Here is a 27,488-nt window from a genome sequence, read left to right on the forward strand (position 1 = left end):
GGTGAAATAAATTTTAATACTTCTTATTTAACCCAAATATATCTAAAAATCTTTCAACATGTAATCAATATAAAAATTATTGAGATATTTTGCATTCTTTTTTTGTGCTAAGGCCTTGAAATGGTAATGTTAAATTTAATGATTTAAATTTTTTAGTAGCCCCATTTAAAAAAAGTAAAAAGAAACAAGTGAAATGAATTTTAATAATACATCTTATTTAACTTAAATACATTGAAAATATTTCAATATGTAATCAACATAAAAATTAATGAGATATTTTACATTCTTTTTTTGTGTGTCTATGCTGAGGCTTTGAAATCCATTGTGTATTTTACATTTACAGCACATCTTTTTTTTTTTTTTTTTTTTTTTTAAAGACAGTGTCTCTCTCTGTCATCCAGGCTGGAGTGCAGTGGCGTGATCTCGGCTCACTGCAACCTCTGCCTCCCGGGTTCAAGGGATTCTCCTGCCTCAGCCTCCCAAGTAGCTGGGATTACAGGCGCCTGCCACTACACACCCTGCTAATTTTTAGTAGAGATGGGGTTTCACCATGTCGGCCAGGCTGATCTTGAACTCCTGACCTCAGGTGATCCACCCACCTTGGCTTCCCAAAGTGTTGGGATTACAGGCGTGAGCCACCGTGCCCAGCATTTATAGCATATCTTGATTTTGCCTTGCCATACTTCAAGTGCTCAATAGCTACACATGAGTAGTATCTACCATATGGGACAGCACAGCCATAGAATAGTTGTTCTGGCATAACTCCGTTTTGTTCCTTTTTTGGCATAGTTTTTACATTCTGAGGAAGATACATGGTTGTTCCCCACTCAAACTTGAGCTGGTAGTTCTGTAGCAATTGAAATTGTTGCCTGATGAATAGCCGTGTTCCAGATTAAAGCATATTTGAGACATCTTTTTCTGGAAGAGAACGTCCACCTTACACTATTGAGGTCACTGCTGGAAGCCGGGATGGGGTGGTTCCCCCACCTCCTTCTCTGTGTTTTTTGCTTCTTTCTTTCCATAGCTCTTCATTTTAGGTTCTTTCTTTCTCCTTAACAAAATCTTAAGTGTTCCCTAGAATAGACTGAGTGGGCCGAAGCAGTTCCTTGTTTTCTTTAGCTGTAATGCAATGGAACAAGTACAGAGCACTCCATGGTATGACAGGAGTTTGCTGGACCCTCTGCAGCCTCACACTGACTACCTCTGTGGTAGCATATTATTTTGAGAACGCCATTTAACCTCTTAGTCTCAGGTTTCCACATCCATGGAATGGGTGACTCTAGAGAGCCTCTGATCTGACTCCATATTCCATGGGTTGTGAGCCCCAACATGATCCCTGCCAAAGCTTAGATTCCTAGGACACTAGGCAGGTGGAACATTTATAAAAGAAAATTCTTTTTCATTGTTATGGCAGCTCTAATTTCTCCTATGAATCCTTATATCTTTCCTAGATGGTCATGTAAAACTGGTTATGGTGGTGTTAACGTTACCCTCCATCAATCAAGTTGAATTGCAGAAGGCAAACTGAGAGGGAAAAAAATAGTGGAATTAAAAAAATTTTTATTGCTGGGTGTGGTGGCTCACACCTATAATCCCAGCACTTTGGGAGGCCGAGATGGGCGGATCACCTGAGGTCAGGAGTTCGAGACCAGCCTGGCCAACATGGCGAAATGCCGTCTCTACTAAAAATACAAAAATTAGCTGGGTGTGGTGGTGGGCACCTGTAACCCCAACTACTTGGGAGGCTGAGGCAGGAGAATTTCTTGAACCCGGGAGGTGGAGGTTGCAGTGAGCCGAGATTGCGCCTTTACACTCCAGCCTGGGCAACAGAGTGAGACTAAAAAAAAAAAAAATTATTGAAGCATTCAGGATCCCATTTATAAGGCCAGTTGGAGGCCAATCCCAGTTTAATCCACCTTGCGGACTTTGTGATGGAATGCATATGTTGTTTTCATGCTATGTATTTGCAGCTATTGGATTTTAGACTGGAAACTTGTCTTGGAATAGATTTCTGATTGCAGTATTGCAAGTGCAGAATACCTTCTTGAGTTCATATGGTAGAGCCCAGGAATTTAGGAAAGGAGTCTGGCCCTCACCTTGGAATGGTGGAGTTACTTGTTCAACGTTTGCCTCAGCTGAAATACTGAAATAATTTCTGTTTCCCACCTGTCAGTGGGGCGTTTGCAAACTTACAGTGAGGATATTTAGAAAGATGTTTGAGTTTCCCTAAGAAAGTGTGGTCAGTAAGTATGAGAAAAAGTTTATATATTTGTCTTGCTTTGAGACAGGTTGAATCTGCCAGTAGGTCAGAGGAATACATTTACCTAGTAGCCTGTGCTGGTAGGGCAGAGAGAGTCAGTCGTTTTTCCTGAGGGCGTTAGGTGATTTGAGACCTCAAGTGTTGTCACTGTAAGAGAATCCTCCTTATAATTACCATTGTTAATAGAATTGAAACTTTGCATTTGTCTTTTATCCCTAACAAAGAAAGACTCCCAGAGAGTCTAATGATGAGCCCTGCCTACATCCATTCTGAAAGGCACTCTATGGATATGAGGGTGTAGACGTTAATTCCTTTCTGTAGAATTTGCATGCAGAGGCTCTAGGGCCAATGCACCCTGCTTACATTAATAAATATTTAAAAACAAAGAGCGGGTAACACAAGCACATCTTTCCTTTGTGCATCCTCCTTACTAGGGTGCCTGTAATACCTAACATCTTGGGAAGGAAATGTCTGGGTGGGTGCGGGTGGGTGGTGATGCTGCGCGCAGCACCAAGTATAAAGGCCCAAGAAGTAACCACATCGTGTGAGGAATAAATTAAAGCAGCTTCATCCGGAGGCCAATTAAGGAAGAATGGGAAAAAAGAAAAAACAAAACCCAGCAACAATAAAACCCAAGAGATGAGAGAGCATGTTCGTTCAGACCACGTAGAAAAGAGAAATTGAAGTCGTCTGGAAGGAGTTTAAGGGGATGCATCACAAAATAAAACTTTTGGAACCAAGAAACAGTGGAGAAGCCCGGTGGCGAGCCACATGGCCTTGTGCTAAGACGAGATGCCCTTTTCAGAAAGGATAATGATGATGCTGGGAGCTGGACCGTCGTAGATTGTCGCCTGAGTCTTGCTGTAAGACGCTGCACAATTAGATTAGAGGAGAGGGCTAGGGGTGGCCGCGAACCCCCTCGCAAATCTGTTGACTTCACCGCAGGGCTGATGCGCGCAGCATAGAGGACGCTTGGGAGCGCCCGGCCACTGCCCGGTCCGCCGGCGCGGCGCCGCGTCGCACCCGGTCTTCTCTGCACCCTGCGCCTTGCACCGGCTCCCTCTCCCGTTCGGGCGTGCGGCCCCCCTCAGACTCTGCCCTTGAGTTCCCAGCGCAGGCCGCACGTCACCGGCCGCCAGCGCGCGGACCGCGAAGCCAAGTGTCCCCCAAGCGGGGCTTGCTGTGTTTTCATCATTTCCCTTGCCTGGCCCGGGTTGCAGTGGTCAGCCGCAGCGGTCTGCTCCCGGCGGCGGCCCGAGGCTCCCCCGCCACCTCTTCTGTCCCGGCTGACTTAACTCTTCTCCCAAAGGGTGGTAAAGAGAGGGCCGCCGCCCCCCAGGGGGAAGACATCCTCTTGGGAGCCATACTTCCTTTATTAAACACCTCTCAATGTGGGCTTGGAGTCACATTCAGAGCCTCTGAGGCAGAGGGGTGCCTGCGGTCTGTTCCCAGGGAGCCGGGCCTAGGGTCTGTTCCTGGGAAGGATCTGTTCCGTGGGGCCCGCTGGAGCCGCGTTTTCAATATGCAAAGTGCCGGTGCTGTGCAGACCTCGGTGGTGGTGGTTTTGCATGCAGAAGTGAAATTCAGAAGGCCGCGTGTGAGCACGTGGGTGAGTGTGTGTATGTGCTAACACGCACGCGTATTAATTTGCAGCTCCTTAGTTGGCCGTGTGTTGTCTCAGCTGTATTCGATAAATATTCGAGTTGTTGCTTTATGGTAATGAAATGAATTAAATAATATAATCTGGAGTTACTGCAGAAACCCTCCCGTCTTTTCTGTCTCTCAGCTCTTACAGGGAGTGCGTCATCTTCCCCTAGGGAGATTTTTAACCCAAAGAACCTTGATGTACTTTAAACAGCACTGACATTTGTTTTCCTTAAGCTCAGTCTGATTTCTTTAACACTTGAAGAAGGTTTGGGGCCTTCAGACATAGCTAGTTTCTTATATGGCGGCTTGTCTTGTCTCAGAGGAATGTTTAAAGGGGCTTCAAGCTGCCTTATTTTTACCAGTCTTCAGAAAATAGAGAATTGATTTTGGTAGTTTGCCCCCTCCTGCCCATGCACGCATAGTTGCCTCCCTTCCCCCACCTAGCCTGCTGGAGCCCAGGCAGGAAGGGGCTGTCATCATACACATGCCTAAGCCATATTACTTTATTTTTCTTCTTAGAAAGTTACACTAGGAAAGATGTTCTTGATGTGTGATTATTATTCTTAAGTGTATTCTAGTGCTTGCTTATTATTGCTCTGTTACAGCTTCACAGGAAACCAGCAGGTCCTGCAGTAGACGGTCCAGAAACTTTCTATTGAATGAATGTGGGAGAGCTAGAAGTCAGGAAGGTTGAATTCCCTCATTACTTCGAAAATCTATAAATTAATTCCCTCTATAAATTTCCACCAGCCTAGTCTCTGATCCACCAGCTGGAGAATCAAGCCCATTATTAATTTCACAGGATGAATTTCTCATCCTAGTAACTCTGGGGGAGAGGACGAAAGGGTTATTATGTAGGTTGAGAGTTCTCTTGTTGCTTCTGACTGTTACAGATGTTGCAGCTAAAATATAAGCATAGCAATAATAATATCAGCAATGGTGATAGTAAAGAATGGAAATAACTGCTTCCTTCTGCTCCTGATTTGGACACCCCCATCCTCCTACTCATTTATTCTATTGACTCCTCTCTAGGTGTTTCAAGTAGAGATGTTTTGGTGACTTCCTAGGGGAGAGAAGCATCTCTCCAGTGGCTTCCATTTGGGTATAAGTATGCAAAGATTGTTTGTGTTGTCAAGATCCCACTGGAGTATATCTTCTTACCTATAATGTCACCTCCTGCATGTTGCCCTTTGTAAGTAGAGGTTATGGAAGCTCAATTATTTTTTAAGTAAGTTTCATAAAATATTTTTGAATGCCCTATGTTCTGGAGATGTTGGTGAAAACTCTTTATCTTCCACAGGTTGTATAGTGAAAAAGTTAAAAATGAATCTCTATCCTGGTTGGATTTATTTTTTCATTTGAGAAATACCGTTCAACATTTTTGTTTTAGACCTCCTGGAGGGCATGATGGGACTGAAGAGTCTTTATTCCATTTTGGTCTAATTATTGCTTTAGCAAATATTTGTGAAACTTCTCCCATGCCTGAAGTGTTGTGACAGAGACTGAAAAATACAGATATGTGTGAGTTGTGGCCCTTACCCTCAAGGAGCTTCCAGGGGCCTGAATCATGGGCAGAATCAATGTGACATGGGCAGGTCCATCACTCCCAAAGCCCATGACAGGAGCCTGGAATGTGTTCCCCAGAGCCAGGAGTGTGGCTGTAAAGGTCATTCTTGACCAAAGTTCATTGCTGCCCTGGTGATACATGCAGAAGCATGCTTTCTTTGAATCAAGGAGTTCTAGTTTTTTTACCTGGATGCCTCAGAAATGTTCTATGTTTGAGTCCTTGCATACTGGGCCTTCCTGCCTTTCCTCAAGCACTGTAACCTCCTTTATTTCCTTTCTGCCTTTCCCCTTTCACTCTCTTTTGTTCTCTTCCTCCCCTCTACTGGGGCCTACCCACCCCTCCACGCCCTCCCCGCCCCCATTGCTATTTGCCAAACTTGTGACCTGAGACCACTTGGCATTTCCGTGGGATGGCTGAAATTTACCACCCGCTGAATAGGCATTCTGTGACATTTGCTCACCTGGGCAGCTTAAGCTACATGGTCTGCTTCTGCCTTGAAGGAGTACTGAGAGGAAGTGTGAAATTTACCTCTGTGCTCCAGGGTTCTTGCTAGCAGGGAGACAAACAGCAATGCTTTCTAGAAGCTGGAATTAATTTTTATCATAGTGCACATATATGTTTATACCCTACATTTATTATATATTCAATAAGTACATGTAGACAATTTGTGCATTGTCTTCCATTTTTTTAACAAATTAAATTTTCATGCTTAGCGTCATCTTTCACTTTCATACCCTCCCCTTCTCTCCCTCCCTGCTAGTAGAACATACTGGGTTAACTTAATGCTCTTTGAGGCCTTGTGTCATTAGACCACCTGTCTCCTTAAGGTTTGTGATATTCCGTGTGATGTCTTTCTCACTGTGGCCTGCCCAGTCCTGCTGGTAAGGAAATAGCTGCCTGTCTCTTTGGATCAAACTGGTCTAGGAGCTTGTTCAGCCCAGTTACTGGGGCAGACCAGCCCTGGAGGCGTCTCTGACTCTTGGAACACACAGACAGCACAGTCTGTCTGTCCTGGCTGTCAGTCGAAGAAGGGAAACATGCAATATAGATGGTTAAGCTGTTACTTTATACTTGTGTGCTCCAAGTGATTTGAAGGAAAGAGTGCTCTGGGCCCCAGTAGTGGTGGATCATCCTGGAATGAAACTGAACAGAGAATGTCGGCAGAAGTGATGTTTCATACTTTCCTGTATGAAACAGGAGCCCAGAATTCTCCTGTTCATATGTAATAGGAGTTAATGCATATTTAAAAAATGTGTTAGGTACAGCGCTATTATTACTCTGATTTTTAAGATGAGGAAACTGAGGCATAGAGAGTTTAGTGAATCTTCCTAAAGTCACATAGCTAATGAGAGAGAGGCTGACTTGGAGATTTTACTTGGTAAGTTTTACTAAGTGTAGATTTTTCTATGAAAATATTCATTCCCATTGAGTGACAGCCCATCAAATTGTGATTCTTCCAAGGAAATCCAGTGGAATCTTACTTGGTTGTCCAAATAACAAATTGTCTGGCTCTACTCATTTCTGATCCTGTTTCTCAGGTACAGAAATTTAATTATCTCATGACTGTGGCTGGCTGCAAAACAAGTAAAGAGGATAAGTTCAAAACTCGCCTTGAGCTTATTTCCTGATTTTCATTAGGCCTCTGCCTATTCTGTTTTTAGAATCCACCTGACTTTTTTTATTTTTTGAGATGGAATCTCACTCTGTTGCTCAGGCTGGAGTGCAGTGGCATGATCTTGGCTCACTGCAACCTCCGCCTCCCGGGTTCAAGCAATTCTTGTGCCTTAGCCTCCCGAGTAGCTGGGATTACAGGCGTGCGCCACCATGCCCGGCTAATTTTTGTATTTTTAGTAGAGACAGAGGTTTCACCATGTTGGCCAGGCTGGTCTTGAACTCCTGACCTCAAGTGATCCACCTGCCTCGGCCTCCCACAGTGCTGGGATTACAGGCGTTGAGCCACCATTCCCAGCCAAGTTTGTTTTTTGAGATGGAGTTTTGCTCTGGTTGCCCAGGCTAGAGTGCAATGATGCAATCTTGGCTTACTGCAACCTCTGTCTCCTGGGTTCAAGCGATTCTCCTGCCTCAGCCTCCCGAGTAGCTGGGATTACAGGAGCACGCCAACACACTTGGCTAATTTTTTTGTGTTTTTAGTAGAGACGGGGTTTCACCATGTTGGCCAGGCTGGCCTGGAACTCCTGACCTCAGGTGATCCACCCTCCTCGACCTCCCAGAGTGCTGGGATTATAGGTATGAGCCACCGCACCTGGCTCTAGAATCCACCTGACTTCTTTCAGGTAACAAGCATGACTTATTTTTGCAGGGGGTCTAAAGCTTGACCACCGCTGTTGTATATGTCACCTTTCCTAGTTCCTTCTCAGAAGTCCAGCATTTTGACAGAAGCATAAAGCAGGGCACAGGGTCCTGCCTTTGCACACCCTTCCTGTGCCCATTGTCCTATCACACCACCTCCCTGGTGCAGCCAGACTCTAGGCCCTGGGCCCTCCAGTGATTCTACGTGGTGCGGATGGATGCTTCCATGGTGAGACCCAAAAGTCTCATCTGTCCAGTTACAGAGCCTCTGTTTTTGGAAAGGCATATCCAGCAGCTCCCCGACCGCCATTTTTTTTTTTTTTTTTGAGATGGAGTCTCACTCTGTCACCCAGGCTGTAGTGCAGTGGCGCAATCTCGGCTCACTGCAACCTCCGCCTCTCGGGTTCAAGTGATTCTTCTGTCTCAGCCTCCCGAGTAGCTGGGATTACAGGCACGGGCCACCGCGCCTGGCTAATTTTTGTATTTTTAGTAAAGACGGGATTTCACCATATTGGCCAGGCTGGTCTCAAACTCCTGACCTTGTGATCCGCCTGCCTCGGCCTCCCAAAGTGGTGGGATTACAGGCATGAGCCACCGCACCCAGCCCCCTTTTGTGATTAGTGGGTGTTTTCAGTTTTGAGGAGGGAAGATCTACCTTCCAAATTGCAGTGGTGGCCCAGAGAACAGCCTGGTATGCAGGACCAGGGTGAAGGTGAAGCTGTTCATATCACCCCAGGTCTTTGAAGGGGAAGAAAAAGTTCAAGGCATTTCATGTTAAAACTTACTGTTTAGAAAACAATACTGTTGATATTAAAAATATAATAATAGCATCATTATTACCAAGAAGACCTTAATAAAGAAAATTTTACAAAAGAAAATCATAAATCTACTAATTTACCTTTAATCATACTATCCTAGTTCAACGTCTATTTTCAGTTTTCTTGTGTTTACATTTTCTTGTGTTACTTTCCTTATGGCTGTGTAAATTTTCCATGTCTTGGGGATGATTGTGTACTCAGGGAACATATTTATCCACAGAACCTGTTATGTATCTTATTTATTTGTTTATTGCTTATTTCATTTCAAAAAGGCATGCAAGAAGCTTACCAAAAGATGTGAGAGATACCAAGAGATTTACTAAATAAATGAGGAAATTAGAAGAAAAAAATTCAGGTAGGGCAATAAAATAACATGCAAGGGAATGTTAGTATGTAAAATGGTATCCATAAGATCCTTTCTTATTGTGAACTTCTCAGGCCTTTTGCTAGTAAGGAAGTAGCTACTGTCTCTTTGGGTCAAACTAGTCTAGGACCTTGTTCAGTCCATATCCTAGAAAGGTTGGCTACAGATTTGATTCTGTGCTTCCTAGTAGCAAAAGCAAAAAAGGGAAATAGGATCCGTTTCAAATTGCCAAACATTTAGAATTGGAAACTAATCAGTTATTTAAGGAGAAGCAGATTTTTTTCCTGGTACTGGACCCCATGCAAAATTTCTTTCATAATTTCTTTTTTTTTTTTTTTGAGACGGAGTTTCGCTCTTGTTCCCCAGGCTGGAGTGCAGTGACGCGATCTCAGCTCACTGCAACCTCTGCCTCCTGGGTTCAAGCAATTCTCCTGCCTCAGCCTCCCGAGTAGCTGGGATTACAGGCACATGCCACCACACCCAGCTAATTTTTGTATTTTTAGTAGAGATGGGGTTTCATCATATTGGTCAGGTTGGTCTGGAGCTCCTGACCTCAGGTGATCTGCCTGCCTTGGCCACCCAAAGTGCTGGGAATTACAAGTGTGAGCCACCGTGCCCGGCCTCATAATTTCTAGTAAGAAGATGCTAGTGATATGATAGGCATTGCCCTCAACGACATGATAAAAAATTATATTTCATGTTTTACCATAGCCCTTTATGCATAACCCATCCACAGCACTCATCAGATGTTATCATAATTATTGGTTTACTATGTAATTCTCTTGTTAGACTCAGAATTTCTTGAAAATGATGAACAGGATTTGTATGCTCAGCCCATAGTACATATTCAGTTAATATATTTTTGAATTGAAACACTGTTTTATCTGCTTATTCAAAAGGGGAAAATTTAATTTATTAACACTTACTGAGTACTTGCTACTCTTTACTCTGAAATAAAAAGAGGGATGAATCAAAAGTCCCTGTCCTTGAGGAAGGTATGATTTACTGGGAATAAACATGTATTAATAGTTATATTGTACTCTAGCTGGATAATTGCTACATGATAGAAGTGTGAACATTCTTTTGTGAAATGACTTATAGATTGCTTAAACTACACTCTCATTACAGCCAGCTTCACCTTTTAGAATTTGGGGTTTGGATCTTTAAGCCAAGAGAGGCGGGAAAAAAAAAAAAAGAATAATAGGGCATGTGAGAGTTTTCTGAGAGGAGAGAGGCTATTGTCTTGTAGATTTGGTTTTTTGCTTCCATTCTTTTTTAGGGAAGAGGGTTCCATTCCTGGGCTAACTAACCCAGCCTCTCTGAATCTCAGGTCACAGGGTGAGAGGGGAGTGGGGCCCCTCTTTTAGTCTACTCCTGACTTGACCTGGCAGCCTTAGCTGGGAGACACTGTTCCATTTTTCATGGGCAGCTGGAGTTGTGGCCACCATTGTGATTCTTGTGACTGGCTTACAGAAGAAACATGGTTCCTAAGAAGGCCAGGAGGGACAGTCCCTGAGACATACGTGTAAAATGAAGAGTATAAAAAGCAAATAACTACCACAACTGGTTTTATCCAGGGCTGTTAATTTTTAGATACTCATTGCTACACTTATTAGAAATAATGTTTACCTTATTTCCTTTTCTTCCTCCTTTCTCCTCTTCCTTCTTTCTATTTAAAAACCATTTGCCAGGTACTTCTATGGCAGGCAGAGTGAGAAATATAAGATAGGAACTTGTCCTCAAATTGCTTACCTCTGGGAGAAAACGAAGGCGCTTTAGGGCAGCTCTTGATCAGGCCCTTGAAGATAACTTAAGTATAGCATAGCACTTAACCCACAATATGTTCTCAAAGAAAGTCCTGAAAGATGAATCCAGTTTTCTCCAAGATTGCAAGCTCCCCCTTGAAGATGGTAAGGTCCTAGTGAGCCATGCTTTATTCATCTTTGCATGTCTAGACCAGTGCCTGGTATATATATTTGATGCCCAACAAATGCTAGTTGAAGGAAGGAAGGGAGGGAGAGGGGAAGGAGGAAAGGAATCACAAATAATTCACCTAAATCTACTTTGGATTTACTTATATTTTTAGAGTGAATATCTTAAGAAATTATTTCCAAAAGCCAAGTGCAGTACGGTGCATACCTATAAATCCCAGCTACTAGGGAGGTTGAGGTGGGAGGATCACTTGAGCACAGGAGTTCTAGTCCGGCCTGGACAGCATAGTCAGACTCAGTCTCTAGGAAGGAGGGAGGGAGAGAGAGAGAAAGAGAGAGAGAGAGAGAGAGATCTAAAAGTAGTATTGTCTGCTTGAAGGATACTAGTTTGTTCATCTTATGTATGCTCTTATGTGATGTGTCGAGAATTAGAAGACAGGATGGAAAAGCCTCTTAGATCTCTTAGATCTATTGGATCACTCCAGTTAAGTGCTCAGAGAGAAAGGTTTCTGGTTTGGATCAGCATGTTACTGAATGGGGAGAAGTTCTTGAATAGCTCTCTGTTTTCTGAGTTAAGATTTTGTGTTTTGGTGTGTGAAGAGTAAGAGGGGTATCATGGAGTAGATGGGGGTGAGGTAGAATGGGAGGTGTGCAAGAGAGGACACCTGAGGACCGTGTGAAGGCAAGTGATAATCAGACTAGGAAGCTGGCTGGACACAACCTTCCAGTGGGAGAGGCGGAGGTGAGGGGGCAGCTGCTTCTTTAACTAATCAAGGGCTCAGGTTCCAGTACCTTCCTTTTATCCCCATCCACAGTTTGGCCTGTCTCTTCTCATCTGCAAAATCTCCTCTTTTCTTTTTCCCCCTCTTTTAAAAGCTAAACTAATTTTCTGTCTGTTCATGTTGACCTTTTGTCCAGTTTTCCTCCCATCAGATGAACCAAAATACTAGAAAAGGACTCTTCCATCTACTACTACTGCTAGTAATAATAATAGTAATAAAATAAATAAAACCAGGAAGCTAAAAATGGAAATTAACTAATTAATTTGACATCAATGAAAGAGGTTGTAGAACTGGAGGCAAGGGAAAGAATGGAATGGACATCTTTCTGGGCACACTCCTCACTCCTTCCCCAACCCCTTCCAATGTGAGTATGTGTAATTTAAACCTCTTCCTGGGGAAGAGTGAAAGAAGAATTTTACCCACCTTTTTCCATTCCCCTCCTCCCTTAGTGAAAATTCCTAGTCATGGTCTGTGATATCTCAAACTTGGCTGTCACTTTTTGGGGTCATTCCCTGGGGATACCCTTCCCCCAATCCCAGGGCAGTTCTAATGTTTCTGAGTAAGGAGTAGTGAGAAACTCAGTTTTCCCTGCAAACTTCCCTCCTCATCAGCCCCACTCAGTGTTGAGTTTAGCATTTGCTTTAGTGGCTTTGCTATTTATAGACTTGTCTGGGGAGGTTGGGGTTGGGGGACAGTGTCAGGCAAGGAATCTCACTGTAGTCTTTGAGGGGGGTAGTCAGGCATTGAGAACCAGTGCATTTAAATAAAAATGTCCTGAACATTTCTTTTGGCTTGGTTTAGAGACCACTAGAACCAGTTCCTTTCTCTGATTCTTTTCTGTGGTTGCTTCACTTTCTTGCTCAGTAGAACCACAATCTATTAAGATTTCTTATTTATGTTCTTCTTAGTTGCCAAGGCTGCCATCCTGACTTGGGCATCTTGGCAGCTAATAACAATGTATGTCTAGCTGAGAAGCTTTTAGCATTTTGGGTTGTAAACTTTTTCTTTACATCCAATGTTCATGGGAAGTCCTTTCTTAAACAAGAACCCCCTTCCTTTCTGTAATTAATGAAATAAATGTCAATATATAGTTTCACCTCTTCTGTATAACATCCTTTGAATAAGTAGTGCTTATGACATTCATTCATTCATTCATTCATTCAGATATTCAACAAATGGCTTTTTCCAGGAGTACTTAGTAAAAAAGAGAGAAGAACAACTGGGGAACCTGGCAGTACAACTTTGATATTCACAGATAGGTGCTGTACTACACACATGTTGAAAGAACTGTAAATGTAGGTGATTGCTCTCATAGTCCTATGGGCACACACATCTTATGTTTAGGGGTTTACATTGGTGGACTGACTTATTGCTGTAATGTGTTCAGACAAATAGGAATAAGAAGAGCAAAGGGGTGTGTACTATCTGCAGAAGACACATGTGCATGTATTTCATTGCTGTGCTAGAGGAAGCTGCTCATGGTAAACGTGCTGAAGTTATCCCTGTTGCAAGAACAAGCATCAAACACAGGACTGGGCACGTGATGAATGTTCAATAAATGCATGCTTTCCCCTTTTCATTTCCAAGGTGGAATGGAAACATCTGAGCCCATGTGGAGCAGCATTATGATGCAAGGGAACAATTACTGGACTGTTCTATGTTGAGTTGATAGGTAATGAGGGGGCACCTCACTCAGAACAATTTCTTATCTGTAATGGGGGCACTAGTTACACTCATTATCCAGGCCCTGTCCACTTCCAGGGAGGTTGTGAATCTCTAGTGAGATGGGCGTAAAATGCTTTGTAAATTATAAAGCACCATGTAACTAAGATTTCTTTGTTAACCTATACTGTCACAATTGCTTATAAAATCAAAGCAAGAGAAAGAAGTCACAGATTGGCAGGCATGTGGAGGGCTGATTTAGAACATGGCATAGATTTAGAAATCCTGTTGAACACAGAATTCGTGGGGCATGCAGTGAATATGGAGCTGGAGATCTCAAGGGAGTTGAACAGAGAGGTGTGATTGAGAGTCAGATGATGGTGAGTCGAGACCATTATCCGCAGAGGGAACTTGAAAATAGAGGTTATCTGCCCACAGAGAGAACAGTGGCAACAGTCCACCAGGATTTTATATGGAGAATGAGATTTGAATGTCGACCTCACACCCAATTTCAGCAGCAGCTCTGCGTTGTAAGGATGTCATGCATAACGAGGTATACCAGCGAAATAGCAAGCCCATGCTTGACATTGAGCAGCATAGGGTGTTGTTTGTGTGTGTGTGTCCCTGTTTCTCATTCCCGGTTTTACATAACTGGGATGTAGGATGCTACAACTACTGCTGTATCTTCAGGTAAGATGTACTGCTATCTTTCACTTTTATGTAGATGTGTTCCTAAAAAGTGTATGGGTGTGATTTTGGTAATCCTTATCCTAAACTTAAGTCCATTCCTTAGTTTCATGGAAGCAATGTATATGACAGAAGGAACACCAGAGGGGAGTGTTGTGGAGAGTGTTGTGGTGACTTGGTAAGTTGCTTACACATTGGGGGTCTTGGCTGTCTCATCTCTAAGTGAAGGGGTTAGATATGAATGATTAATAAGATCCCTTTCAGGTCTATGCTTCTAGCACTCCCTTTTGTCGGGTGAGGAGCCCTTTTTGTATTGTGTATACTCACCCAGCACTTTATCTGCCTCTTTGTTGTTAGCTGATGATCTTTGTGTGTCTGATTTTTTTTTTTAAGAGTAAGGATGTCATGCACTCTTATTCAAAGTGTAGAGTTTATTCTCCCATTCATAGGAATGCAAAATGAGAAGTTTTAAATACACGGATTCACTTCCTAACCCAGTTTCTCAGAAGATTAATGAATAGTCATCCTGTTGACCCATCTGCTTCTCTTCTTCACATCGTTTTGTGCGGATGAGGCACACACAGACACAGAGTTCTCACTTGCAGCAGTCCGGCACATACAGCCTCACACGCGCCACACCAGGGGGTGTCCCCAGGAGAGGTAGAACAGGTGCCAGATGTTGCAGCAGTACACTCCTCCCTGATCCTCCTTCTCATCCCCCACCCCTTTTCTGAATCTCCTGCACAGTCACTGAAGTCCCATTTTTATATGCAAGAAGAGAAGAGAAAGAGCCCTAGGATGCAAGGATGCCTTGTCACCTCTCATCTTCTGTGCTGGGATAGACACCTGATCTTTTTGGAAGTGAAATCCAGAGTCTGGGGCAAAGACCAAAGGACAGAGGCCAAACCAAAAGTGACTGCATGGTTGCATGCGGGCCCCAAATGATTGAATGAAGCAAGGATACCCATCGCAGGGAGCTGAAAAACCTCACATCCAGATGCGGTCAGAGAGGTTCACAGAATGAAAGGCAGTCTGATGAGTGAGTGAGATACACCCGCCTGTAGAGCACAATAGAAAAATCAATAGTAAGGGGAGGTGAAAGAGTTTCAGCTGGGTTTTATTGAGCACAAAGAAGACAAACTGGCTTTTGCTGTGACTTCAACTGTATGTTAATAGTGCTTTTTAAAAACTACAGTACAGGATTTGGGGAAAAAAAATCACACGGTAAAAGTTGCCAGCCAGTATATGTAAGTGCACACACACACAGAGATGAGGAAAAAGAGAAAAGAGAAATACACTCCGGACTAAGCTTTTTTTTTTTTTTTTTTTTTTTTTTTAGTTTCGAAGCATATGGTGAAGTGTGCTATAATTTTATATGCATATATATTCTTTATTCTGGACTTCCAGAAAGCAATGAGTTTCATCTGTTTTTTTCCCCACCTCTGGTTCCTTCTTCCTTTCCCTTGCTCTCTACAAGTCTGCTGTGGCTTTATTAGGAATTCCCTTTGGTTTAGGGGGAAAAAAAATAAGAGGGAGAGAGAGAGAGGCTGGAGGGGGAAGAAACAAAACTAGCTCTTGGCTGGCCGCCCACAGCATGGGCCCAACAGCCTTGTTTGAGCGCGTTGCCCCGGCCTTCTGTTTTCTTAAGCTCAGCCCCCTTTATCCCTCCGCCCCCACCATGCCCTCCTTTTCCTAACTGGGCTGAGGGAGGCTGTTTCTACCCTCCTAACCCTCTTTTTTCCTTTCTGTTGTTTAAAGAGAATCTTTCTCTCTTTTTTGAGGCTCCAGCGGCGAGAACAGCAGCGGATTTCTCCTTGCCGGCCTCTCCCCTCCTCCCCAGCCCCCTCCCCGATGAAGGGTTCATCCAAAGTTCGAATCCAGACTCTGAACAAAGTGGCGCAGACCTTTTCCTGACTCCTCACCCTTTGTCCTCATCACTCAGTGACAGACAGGAATCAAATGCTGAGGACCCAGGCGGGAGAGGGGCAGTGGGGGAGGGAGGGGAGAGGAGAAAAGTTCCCATTAACTCGCCGGGCCCTTAACAACCACTGGAAGGAGGAGGGGGGCGCGGCTGAGAAAGGATTTTTGTTTAAGTTTCTGCAGGCACACACACAGCATTCCCAAGTTGTTTGCAGATGGTTTCATCTGGTTTCTGTTTGAGGGGAAGAGAGTATGGGATGATCAGTAAGGAGAGGGGGCGGGGAGAGGGAAGAGTCTTCTCTTGACCAGAAAATGATACCTGTGGTGTCTTTTCCTGAAACTGAAAACATTAAAGCGTTCTGATCCCAGAGAAAACAAATTCTCTGGGATATAAGGGTTCACCTTTTGGAGGTGGATTACACTTTTCAGGACACCAGAGAACCATAGAGCAAATTACTTCTTCCAGAGTGCTAAATGATCCCCTGGTGCCCTGGAAAGAGACCGTTTACCTCCAAAAGGTGAGTTGTTTATTGCCAGAGAGTAGAATATTGGCTGTAATGCCTGCTCATCCATCCTTCTCCATCCCTGCGAGGTATTTAGGGTGGAGGAGATATTATCCACCTGTCACCATGGGGAAGGAGACTGACAAATACTTTTCTGATTCCTGTTCCTAAGATTGAATTGCTGGGGAGGAAGGTGAAGTGACTTTTCCAAGGTCTTATAGTGATCCAGTGATTGAAGTTGAATTAGATTTCTGTTCCTGTTGTGGTGCTCTTGTTTGTCAGAGAAAAATAAATATCTTAATGCTCACACGGAGCCTCCCGTAAAAAGGCTGATAAGAAAGGCCAGGTGCGGTGGCTCATGTCTTTCATCCCAACATTTTGGGAGGCTGAGGTGAGACATGGCTTGAGCCTAGGATTTCAAGACCAGCCTGGGCAACATAGTGAGATCCTGTTTCTACAAATAGTAATAATAATAAGACATCCAGGTGTGGTGGCACATGCCTCTAGTCCCAGCTACTCGGGAGGCTGAGGTGGGAAGATTGCTGAGCCTGGGAGGTCAAGGCTGCAGTGAGCCGTGATCGTGCTGCTGTGCTCCAGCCTGGGCAACAGAGCGAGACCCTGTGTTGAAAAAAAAAAAAGCTGGGGGTCAGGGAGCAGATAGAAGAAATACCTTGGCCAGCGCAACTGGAAAGGGAGGAGCCAAAAGGGGAACACTTTCTTGATTGTCCCAGCCTCATTAGGAGCTACCACAGGGCTCTCCTGCATGCTCCTTGTTTTCTTTGTGCTCTGGACTTGCTCACTTGCACTGCTTGCTTCTTCCCAATCGCCGCCGCCCCCCTGTGCTTCAGGTAAACAAGCTGCTCTGTGGGAAGTGAATAATGGGGCCTAAACTGACGAGGAGGAAGTTAAGTTGAGAGGTGCCGTTTTTGGTGAGCCTTAATGAGGAGGACAACAGTGTGAAATCTTACTTGGCATTGTGACCAGGAGATCTATTGCCTTTTCCTCCCCTAAATCTTCAGAATCATAGTGGACTATATATGACTCCCAAAAGTGTATGCTTTTACCTAGCCCTTGGAAGCTTGGATGGTTAGAGCAATTGGGAGTTTAGTCTGTTGGGGTAAACAGGGCATTGATCTAAGGATTTGTTAAACTGTAAACCAAATAAAGAGCAAAGTCTGCTCTACAGGGATGTTGAAGATTCAGGATATTAAAAAAAAAATCTCTGACTGCATGATTACCCTTCCAGACATTTATTGAGGTTTTTGTTTGTTTGTTTGAGACAAGATCTTACTCTGTCACCCAGGCTGGAGGGCAGTGGTGCGATCTCGGCTCACTGCAACCTCCGCTTCCTGGGCTCAAGTGATTCTCCTTCTTCAGCCTCGTGAGTAGCTGGGACTACAGGCGTGTGCCACCACACTTGGCTAATTTTTTTTTTTTTTTTTTTGAGATGGAGTCTTGCTCTGTTGCCAGGCTGGAGTGCAGTGACATGATCTTGGCTCACTGCATCCTCTGCCTCCCAGGTTCAAGCGATTCTCCTGCCTCAGCCTCCCAAGTAGCTGGGACTACAGGCATGTGTCACCATGCCCAGCTAATTTTTGTATTTTTCGTAGAGACGGGGTTTCACCATGTTGGCCAGGATGGTCTGGAACTCCTGGCCTCAAGTGATCTGCCTGCCTCAGCTTCCCAAAGTGCTGGGATTACAGGCGTCAGCCACCGCTCCTGGCCCCCAGTTAAATATTTCTGGAAAAGAGTTCTGTTCACAAAAAATTTTGGAATCAAGGGAAAACCTTATTAATTAAGATCTTTGATAATGTGGATTCTAAATAATTTCGGGCTAAGTTGAATGAAAACTTACCTTTTCACCCATGAAAAAAGGAGCTCTGTAACTATATTAGTAGCACAAACGGGTTCATGTGAATGTTTACCCTGCTTAAGAGAGTAAACTTTTCAGAGTTAGCAGCAGCATTTGCATACAATAAATGTTCTAATTACTAATGATCCTTGCCAATTAATTAAAAGTATGTCTGTCATGGCGCTGCTTTCTTGGCAGTGCTTTTATTGATGATGAGCTTGTGTGCATATTAAATAATACAGTGACATTTCTTTTTAATGTTTCCTAACCCAGGCTTTGTATGGCAGAACATTCTGTTAGCAGACTTGTGCAGGTTTTCCTATCCTACAAGTAGAGAAATGGAGAGATCCATGCCCTACCCTGAGCCTGAGAGTAACTTGGTGATAGTGTCTGCATTCTAACCCAGTGCTCCTGTATTTCCTTGGATTCTTGTTTCTTGTGAGCCTGTAAAGGCATTTGCAAAGTTGGGGCCTTCTGTGAACAGGGGTGCTGTGGCACTGCAGTTCATTGCAGTCTAGACTTTCCACCTCCCCTGTGGCACTTTTGGCAAGTTGACAGGTATAATTGATGAGTTATTCTAAGAATGTGATTCCTGAGTAACTCTAGAGTGGAGTGACTGTGTTTCTGAGTAGTTAATGTGGCTGGGGGGAAAGGCAGATGAAGGGGATGGGGGTTGGGAAGCTGGAGGGAGGTGGGGAGGAGGGCCTTTGTTCAAATCAAGTTGTGTTCAAGTCTGTGGTTTTAAGAGAGAGCAACAGCGATTCTTTCCTAGCATATGAAATCTTCACAGGGCTCATAGTTTGAGTGTGAGAGTCTGGATGAGGTTCATCCCAGTATATGTCCTAGGAAAGGAAATAGAAACACTTAGCTTTGACGTGTAAACCTCCATGCCAACCATTTTGGTTGAGTTTAAGGGAAATCACAAAGCAGCTTCTATTGCTGCAAATTTGCCTAGTAGCCCAACTTTCCAAAGTTAAGATCATCCCTGGCAGGCCTTTAATTCTCAAGGGTCTGCAAAGTTGATGGTCTGTTGAGAAAGGAAAGGAGAAGTTGAGGCCACAGTTGTGATTACCATTTCTCCTTGTCATTGAGAAGCAGCAGTGTCTGAGCAGAGTCTGAGGGTGCTGGCCCTGGCCACAGAGGCTTTGGGGCAGAGTCTAGCCTGGACCAGGGGGAGTGAAAGGGAATGGCCTTGTTGGAATTGGCATGGCATCTCCACACAGTAAGTTGAAAAGCAGTACAGGATCTACGACCACATGTGGCCAGCCAGGTGTCAGGGCTTATTGCTCCTCAGGCTTTGAATTCTGTATCCCCAACCATCCCTCCTGAGTAGAGTCTCTGCTGCTTCCTGGACACACCAGGCTCCCACGCGCTGGCCTTGCTGAGGATAAAGACTGCCCCTGGGTTTTCTGTCGTGAGCACTCACCTGTGACAGGCTGCTCTCTCTCCTTCCCCACAATGGGAACTTGGGAGCTAGTACTTTCCCAGCATTTGTATGTAGCACACAATCCTTAGATTTTTTTTTTTTTTTTAATTTGAGACAGAGTCTTGCTCTGTAGCCCAGGCTGGAGTGCAGTGCCGTGATCTTGGCTCACTGCAACCTCTGTCTCCTGGGTTCAAGGGATTCTCATGCCTCAGCCTCCCAAGTAACTGGCATTACAGGTGTGTGCCACCACACCCAGCTAATTTTTGTATTTTTAATAGAGATGGGGTTTCGCCATGTTGCCCAGACTGGTCCTGAACTCCTGGGCTCAAGTGATCTGCCTGCCTCGGCCTTGCAAAGTGCGGGAATAACAGGCATGAGCCACCACGCCTGGCCAACCCTTAGATTCTTTTTTAACCCAACTTATCTCTTTATAATTCCAGACATCATTTTGTTGGATTTTGACTCCTGGTGGGTTGCTGTAGTAGCACTTTTATTTTTCAAATGTTAGGTGGACCCCAGGTGCCAAGGTTACTTCCAAAGAATTAATCTATGCCCCCAAAAGGTTAGAAATACTGTGTCTGCTCCCATACTGTCTCACCTTTTACCTGATGAGAAAAATAATCAGAGAGTCCTGGTTGTAAACCCCAGCTTCAGTGGTTACCAGTGGCACAACCCAGGGCAAGTTACTTCTGTAAGCCTCTGTTTTGTTTTCATCTATAAAAATGTGGGTATTTGGTTTACCTCTAAAGGTTGTGGCGGCGGGGTGGGGGCTGGAAAAATAATAAATAGCCAGAATTTTGCAAAAATATTGCTAAGTTTTTTCTTCCTTTTTTAGTTTTCACTGGGTTGAAAACACACCATGTACTTCCTTTAAAATATAAAGTGCCTTGTGCTTGGGGACCAAGGTGCTTTTCACACATAATGCAGGCACTTATTGTTATTATCTCCGTTTCTTCCGTGGCTCTGCATGACTGTTCTGAGAATCTCTTGCTCTCGAGAGATTGAGCTCCTGATTCTCTCAGAGTTCATTCATGCCTGTAAGCTTGGAAACTTTAAGGTGAGGCTGATATTTTCTTCCTTTGGGAGAAGCTTCACTTTTCCCACTTTAGCCTTCTTTCACCTGTCATACCAGGTTGCTGTTTCTTGGTAGAACCTCCTGGGAATTAATAGCATAGTGTGATTATTATAATAACTTAATTTCTATAGCACTTTATTAATTTCATGTCACTTTCCTATTTCATCTCACATCAAAGGTGGCATTATCCCCATTTTAGAGATAAGGACGTTGAGCCTCTATAAAGACATGATTTAAATTCTCCTTCTAACTTGCTGTAGGAAGATCACGCAGAAGCACAAGATGAAACACAGAATGCTAAAGCTGCAACAGAGACTTGGGAGATCATTTAGTACAGCACTGAGAAAAAGAGAGATACTTTTCTTTTTTTTTGAGACGGAGTCTTGCTTTTGTCGACCAGGCTCGAGTGCAATGGCATGATCTCGGCTCACTGCAACCTCTGCCTCCTGGGTTCAAGCGATTCTCCTGCCTCAGCTTACCGAGTAGCTGGGATTACAGGCACCTGCCAAATTTTTGTATTTTTAGTGGAGACGGGGTTTCGCCGTGTTGGCCAGGCTGGTCTCGAACTCCTGACATGGTGATCCTCCTGCCTTGGCCTCCCAAAGTGCTGGGATTACAGGCATGAGCCACTGTGCCCGGCCAAAATAGAGTTACTTTAAATTTAAGTAGAAAATTTAAAATTTTTAATTGCCACATTAAGAAAAGTTTAAAAAAGGTGAAATTAATTTTAATAAAATATTTTCCAGTATATTCAGAATACTATTTCAACATGTAATCAACATAAAAATGTTAATGAGATATTTTATAATCTCTTTTGTCCTAAGTCTTCACTATTTTGCATGTATTTTACCAATTTAGACCAGCCACATTAAGTGCTCAGTAGCCACAGTGGCTAGTGGCAACCTTACTAGACAGCACAGATCTACTCCAAATATTTAATTTTATAGATCAGGACACTGAGGCCCAGAACTGTGATTAACTAATAAGTGGCAGAAATGAAACACGTCTCCCTCCAGAGCTCTTTTCATTATACTGTCTTCACTCTACTGCTTTGAACGTGAAGACAAAAGAACCCGGTTTCTGTTCATACTTTTATATCCTCTCTTATGCAGTCTATAGCCTGGGCTTGGAACTTAGAGCCTTAACAGACTTTAAGACAGTACCACGTCTGAACCTAGAGTTATATTGTATTCTTTCTATTAGCAGAGAGCTTTCTGATTCCTAAGAATTTCCTTACTCTACAAGAAATGGGATTTCTGCTTTGCAAAGTTCCCTTCAGTGGAATGAAGTTATTGTTGCCCAGAGCTTCCCTGGTACAACTCTATGGACTTGGGCATGATTCTCCCTAAAAATCCGTGGAAGCCGTGATCAGAGCCCTTGGAAAATTGCTCTGGTGAGCCAAGTGGGCAGTGGCAGTAGAGCAGTTTTCAGTAGTGGTCCCACGGTGGCAAGTTGGCTGTGAAGCAGTTGAGGATGACATGAATGATGGCTCTTCAAGCTAAGACTGAGTAGTTGTAATGGAAAACAAGGTCAGTCACCTGGCTAGTTGATGATGGTGGGAGCCTTTTTTTTTTTTTTAAAGGAGAAGAGGAGCCATTTATTAATCCCCACTTTTGGCATGATTCATTTGCTCATTGTCAGCGCCTAGCTCAGCTTTGCTTTTAGTAGGTGATTGCCAAACTGATATGATCGTTGTATATTCACTGGCTTCAAGAAACCACCAGTGGGAAATCTTATTTATGGAGATGATGGTTATGGTTATGATTATTGACAGCCATTATTATAAACATCATTATTATTTAGTGTTAATCAACAACAGGATGAAAGGTGCTCTAAAGAACACAGAATTAGACCCTGTCTTTGCAAATGGGCTCATAAGAAAAGAATGACAGAAAGAGACACCCAGCCTGGGCTAGCTAGGAAAAATACGTTTTAGGGAAATACAGCTGACAAAATAGCTCCAAAGGTTGTAATTTTTAGGGCTTTGGTGGAGTTCAATATGGTACTCTGAACACAGAAAAATGGAAAGTAGAATTTCTCAGTAAAAGAAAGTCTGTTGTTTCAGTCCAGTTTTACTATTAGAGTGAGTTGTAAAGAACAAGTAAAAGGGAAAAATTGGATATGTGTTTTTGTTTTGTTTTATTGCCCTGCAGGTCCCCTCTTTTTTTTTTTTTCTTGGTTTCTCAATTTTGAACTTTAATGCATTAATACATCAGGTATCTTTTACAACTAAAGTAGCCCCTGAAATATTTTCTGTGCAGAAAGGTTACCTTCAAGTGCATTAGGGTCTCACATTGACATACAAATTCAGGTTTGAATCCTTGCAAAATCACATGGTAAAATCGGGCCTCATTTCCTACATGGTAAATATGCACTCTCCTTGAGATGGTGCATGAGCTTTCTAGTTCATCATAGTCCCTCCCATGCAAACACCTTACTCATTAACTTTTATATGCCTGTTCCTTACAAAGGCATTTTTAGTTTCAACCCATATATTTAGAGCAGTGGTTCTAACCATGGGTGATTTGCCCCCAGGGGCCATTTGGCAATATCTGGGGACATTACTGGTTTGTCATAATGCAAGTTCATTTTTATGTCATATTTTTACTGTGTACTTTTTGCATTTTCAAATGACTTTGACTATTGCCAGAGTCATTATAGACCTGCCTATGATGTAGGAGTTTATTGTATCTAGTGGAAAACATACCTGTTTGTGGGGCAGAAGCTTCTGTTCCATTCATCCTGATTTTAGACACAGCATTTAACTTTTCAGGTTCAGTTCCATATGTATAAAGTAGGGATAATAGTGACATCCTAGTGTATTAAGAATTAAGGTGTTATTATTTCTGTCACTGTTACTTCACCCTAATTTTGTTTCCACACTCATCTCTGAGCTTTTTTACTTCTTATGTTGTTCAGTGTTTTCTAAATTAAAAAAAAAAAAAGAAATTATCCAGGAGGAACTCCAGGGTCAGAGAAATTTAGTTCCTTGGCCAAGGCCACACCACAGGTAAGTGGTACAGCGTGGATATGAGACTCAGTCTCCTGAATTGGATCAGTTACTTGCATGCACCCTGTACCCTCTGTCTTTATTTGGGTTGGAACCCTGGGGGTTCAGTGATCCTGTTCCAGGATCTACACTTAGCTTGGACTTCTTGTTGGTTTTCTTATGCTTATTTTTGTTTTATAAAATGCTCAATGGTGTAACATTTCCTTTGAGGAATCGTTATTCATTAAAAAGTCTGAAAACAGTGCTTTAAATCATGTCTGCTTCTTTTTGTACAACCAGTTACCTCACTTCTTCAGCCAGGATGGGTTTATGTGGCCCCTCAGGGCCTTCTAAGAAGACTATCTTCCCTGTCTTTTGTGGAAGGAACAGAGTTGGTTGTTGTCCCCTAGAAGGGTGGTCATCTCTTCTCCTTTGTAAGTAGATGGTGACATCAAGGGTTGACACTTGGAAAATATAACATAGTTCTATGACGACGTGGAACTATCTAGTTTTCTTGGAATAATGGTATTGAAATGGAGCTATTTGGGGGTGCAGAGATAATTTTCTACCACACTTTGAAATTTGTTGGCCAAGGATCAAGAATTTCCCAAATCTTTATACAGCCTTCAGAGGACCATGATATTCATCTTGTTGTTCCCACCTATGATAATTCTAAAGTTATTGCCTTGAAGCCAGGACCTGGTATGTACTTTTTCTCCATGAATTTGTGAAGTTTCTGCTATATTTTAGGACATTACCTTTAAGAATAGACTTTTTATGGCCTTCGTTTTGGGGTCTCGCAGCCATGTTGTAAATATAATACCTCAGGAGAGTTTGTAGGTTATAACTCTGGGCCTTTAAGATGCCTTGGCCTTAAATTTTTTATTTAAAAATTAAATAAATAATTAATTTAAGAGACTTAAATTAATTATTGCTGTACATTTCTGGAGAGTTCCCCAATTCCTGGGTTTCTGGTTCTCCTGGTATTTTAGTCCATATTCTGTTGGTATAACAATACCACAGACTGGGGAATTCACAAAGAAGTGTATTTGGCTTGTGGTTCTGGAGAATGGGAAGTCCCAGAGCATGGCTCTGGCATTTGGTGAGGGCCTTCTTGGTAACATGGTGGAGTTCATCACATGGTGAGAGGGCAGGAGCAAGAGAGCCAGACTGCTTGCTTTTATAACAAAGCAATTCCCACAGTAACAAACCCACTCCTAGGATAGCAATGTTAATCCATTTGTATCCATTCGTGAGGGCAGAGGGATTCAGTTTCCAACACATGAATTTTTGGGAGACATATTCAAACCATAGCCAGTTTGTTTGTTTTTATCTGGCTACTAGAGTAAGAATTCTTTTTTTCTTTTCTCTCTTTCCCCTTTCTCCTTCCTTTGTTCCCTCCCTTCCTAGAGGGTGGTAGAGACCAGAGCTGGAAAATTTCAGACAGGAGTTAGGTGTCGAGACCAAGGCACACTGTGGAGGGTTAAGTCATTGTCTTCCATTGTCTTAGGGCTTCTTTGTGTATCTCTCCAGTCCAAACCTTGTGGATGGATGACTACCGGCACTCTTAGAGATAGGAGAGACATCAGTTGAGCTGAACTAGTTTAATTCCCAGAGTTCTCTGAGGAACATACTAGTGTTTGTTGATTTTCTGTTGGATTACTGGAACTCTCAGTATGTGGTAAATTCCTTGAAAAACCTGATTGCATTTGATTTTGTCATTGGTTCTTATCCTTTCTGAGCAACAAGCACCACCCTTTCCAATGACACTCTGCCTTTTTTATTCTTTTTAACTTTTAGAAGAGCTACCTGGGCAGCCAAATTTTTCATAAAGAGCCTTACACCTGAAATAGCTTGACATTGTGTCATACCTCGGAGCGTATAGCATATTTCATTTATGTGATTAGATTTGACCTTTAAAACTACCCGGAGGTAGGAAGGGGAGGGATCATTATCCCACTTTTACATAAAAGAAAACAGAGGCTCAGTTGCCCCAGGTTATTCAACAGGTGTGTGGCTGAGCGTTAATTTGAATCCTGGTTTGTCCAGCTCCAGTCTATGTCCTGACCAACCCCGCCCTGCTGATAGACATCACGGTGTTTCTTTACACCAGATTTATTTTCTGTCTCTTTTTTCCTCCTGATTTTTTTTTTTTTTTTTGCAAAGAAGAGTGTTTCTGCCAGTAGCTTTATCAGATGATTTTGCCCCTCTTTTCATTCTCTCCCAATAGATCTCATGTCTAACACTACTCTAACTTTGCTCCCCTCTGAGACCAGCATGAACTCCAGTTCTTTCTAAATTGTGTAATTCTTTTTTTTTAAAATTAATTAATTATTAATTTTAAGTTCTGGGATACATGATGTGCAGGTATAATTCTTTCTTAATAGATTCTGAGCTTGACCTTCCAGTCGTCTTCTACTGCTCAGCCACACCCCCCTCCATTTTTGTTTCTTTTCTCTTTCTTCGGGCAAATCTGCAATTGTGGGCGCATATTTACCTTGTTATTTTTTACAGTATTCCCATGTGAACATTTTGCCAGCGGCCTCTTCTTAATTTTAGTCCTTTCTGGGGAAGGGTTAATAGTTCAAACCCATTGTTTTTCTTTTGAGGGTTGAGACTTGTTATAAAAGCTGCCTGGAGTGGGACTGTCCCTCAGGAGGGGAGGGGCACAGGCCTGGCATGGGGATAACTGGGAATGGGGTTTGGACACAGGATGCCTGGCGACTGTAGGGACACTTGTCTCATTTCTTGCTCTGTTATATAATATAAATGCTTAGGGAAGCTTAGATTCAATGGGTTGTGCCCTTCCAAAAGCCTACTGCTGGAGTGAAAACTGGAAATACATCTTTGCATATGTGTTCTTTCATTTTATTTTTCCTACTGGTTTGCTAAGCAAAGAGCTGGCTTTGTACAAACCCCCTCTCCCCGCTTTTTTTTTCTTCTTTTCTTAAAAAGCTTCTGTGCTCTTTTGAAACAAGCCAACAAAAGTTGAAGCCAGTGTGTGTGCAACTCAGACCTCATGAGCAATTCTTTTCCAAACCAAATTTTAATTCACAGCTGCCAGTTTAGGGGCAATGCTAAGACCCAAATCGTCCTGGCATCTGAAGCACCTGTCCTAATGTTGAGTACTTTAAATATGGTGTTCCCATTTCCTAAATCTCAATTTAGTCTGTTTGGTCTTACAATTGTGAGTATAATTATGGGAAAATTTAAATGGGATACTTGAGTCAGGACTGTGTTAAAAAATCCAAGATGTATTGCTTCTGTAAGGCTAGACTAAAATAATGAAAATATTAAGAGCCTAAAGTATGCTGCTGCTTTTTTTTTTTTTTTTTTTTTTTGATACAGAGTCTTACTCTGTCGCCCAGGCTGGAGTGCAGTGGCGTGATCTCGGCTCACCGCAACCTCCACCTCCTGGGTTCAAGTGATTTTCCTGCCTCAGCCTCCCGAGTAGCTGGGATTACAGGTGCCCGCCACCATCGGCTGATTTTTGTATTTTTAGTAGATATGGGGTTTCACAATGTTAGTCAGGCTGGTCTCGAACTCCTGACCTCAGGTGATCTACCCGCCTCAGCCTCCCAAAGTTTTGGGATTACAGGCGTGAGCCACTGCGCCTAGCCTACTACTGCTTTTTAACTAAAGTCTGCCTGCATTCCCTCTCTTGCCACAAAAGGCAAACAGAGCTTTTGGCACAT

General features: G+C 43.1%; 1 protein-coding gene across 12 annotated transcripts in view, besides 2 other annotated features; it reads left to right on the forward strand.

Annotated features, from left to right (window-relative positions):
• Positions 1-27,488, forward strand: part of PBX1 (PBX homeobox 1) — a 326,864-nt gene that overhangs the window by 13,952 nt on the left and 285,424 nt on the right. The window lies entirely within an intron of this gene.
• Positions 17,498-18,465: an enhancer, noted in NCBI's record as "NANOG-H3K27ac-H3K4me1 hESC enhancer chr1:164559870-164560837 (GRCh37/hg19 assembly coordinates)". NCBI's record gives its function as "activates a minimal SCP1, AML or CMV promoter by ChIP-STARR-seq in naive H9 embryonic stem cells {active_cell/tissue: H9 hESC(naive)}" and the evidence as "EXISTENCE:reporter gene assay evidence [ECO:0000049][PMID:30033119]".
• Positions 19,547-20,490: an enhancer, noted in NCBI's record as "H3K27ac-H3K4me1 hESC enhancer chr1:164561919-164562862 (GRCh37/hg19 assembly coordinates)". NCBI's record gives its function as "activates a minimal SCP1, AML or CMV promoter by ChIP-STARR-seq in naive H9 embryonic stem cells {active_cell/tissue: H9 hESC(naive)}" and the evidence as "EXISTENCE:reporter gene assay evidence [ECO:0000049][PMID:30033119]".

The sequence above is a fragment of the Homo sapiens genome, chromosome 1 (genome assembly GCF_000001405.40).
Source record: "Homo sapiens chromosome 1, GRCh38.p14 Primary Assembly".
NCBI classification, from domain to species: domain Eukaryota; kingdom Metazoa; phylum Chordata; class Mammalia; order Primates; family Hominidae; genus Homo; species Homo sapiens.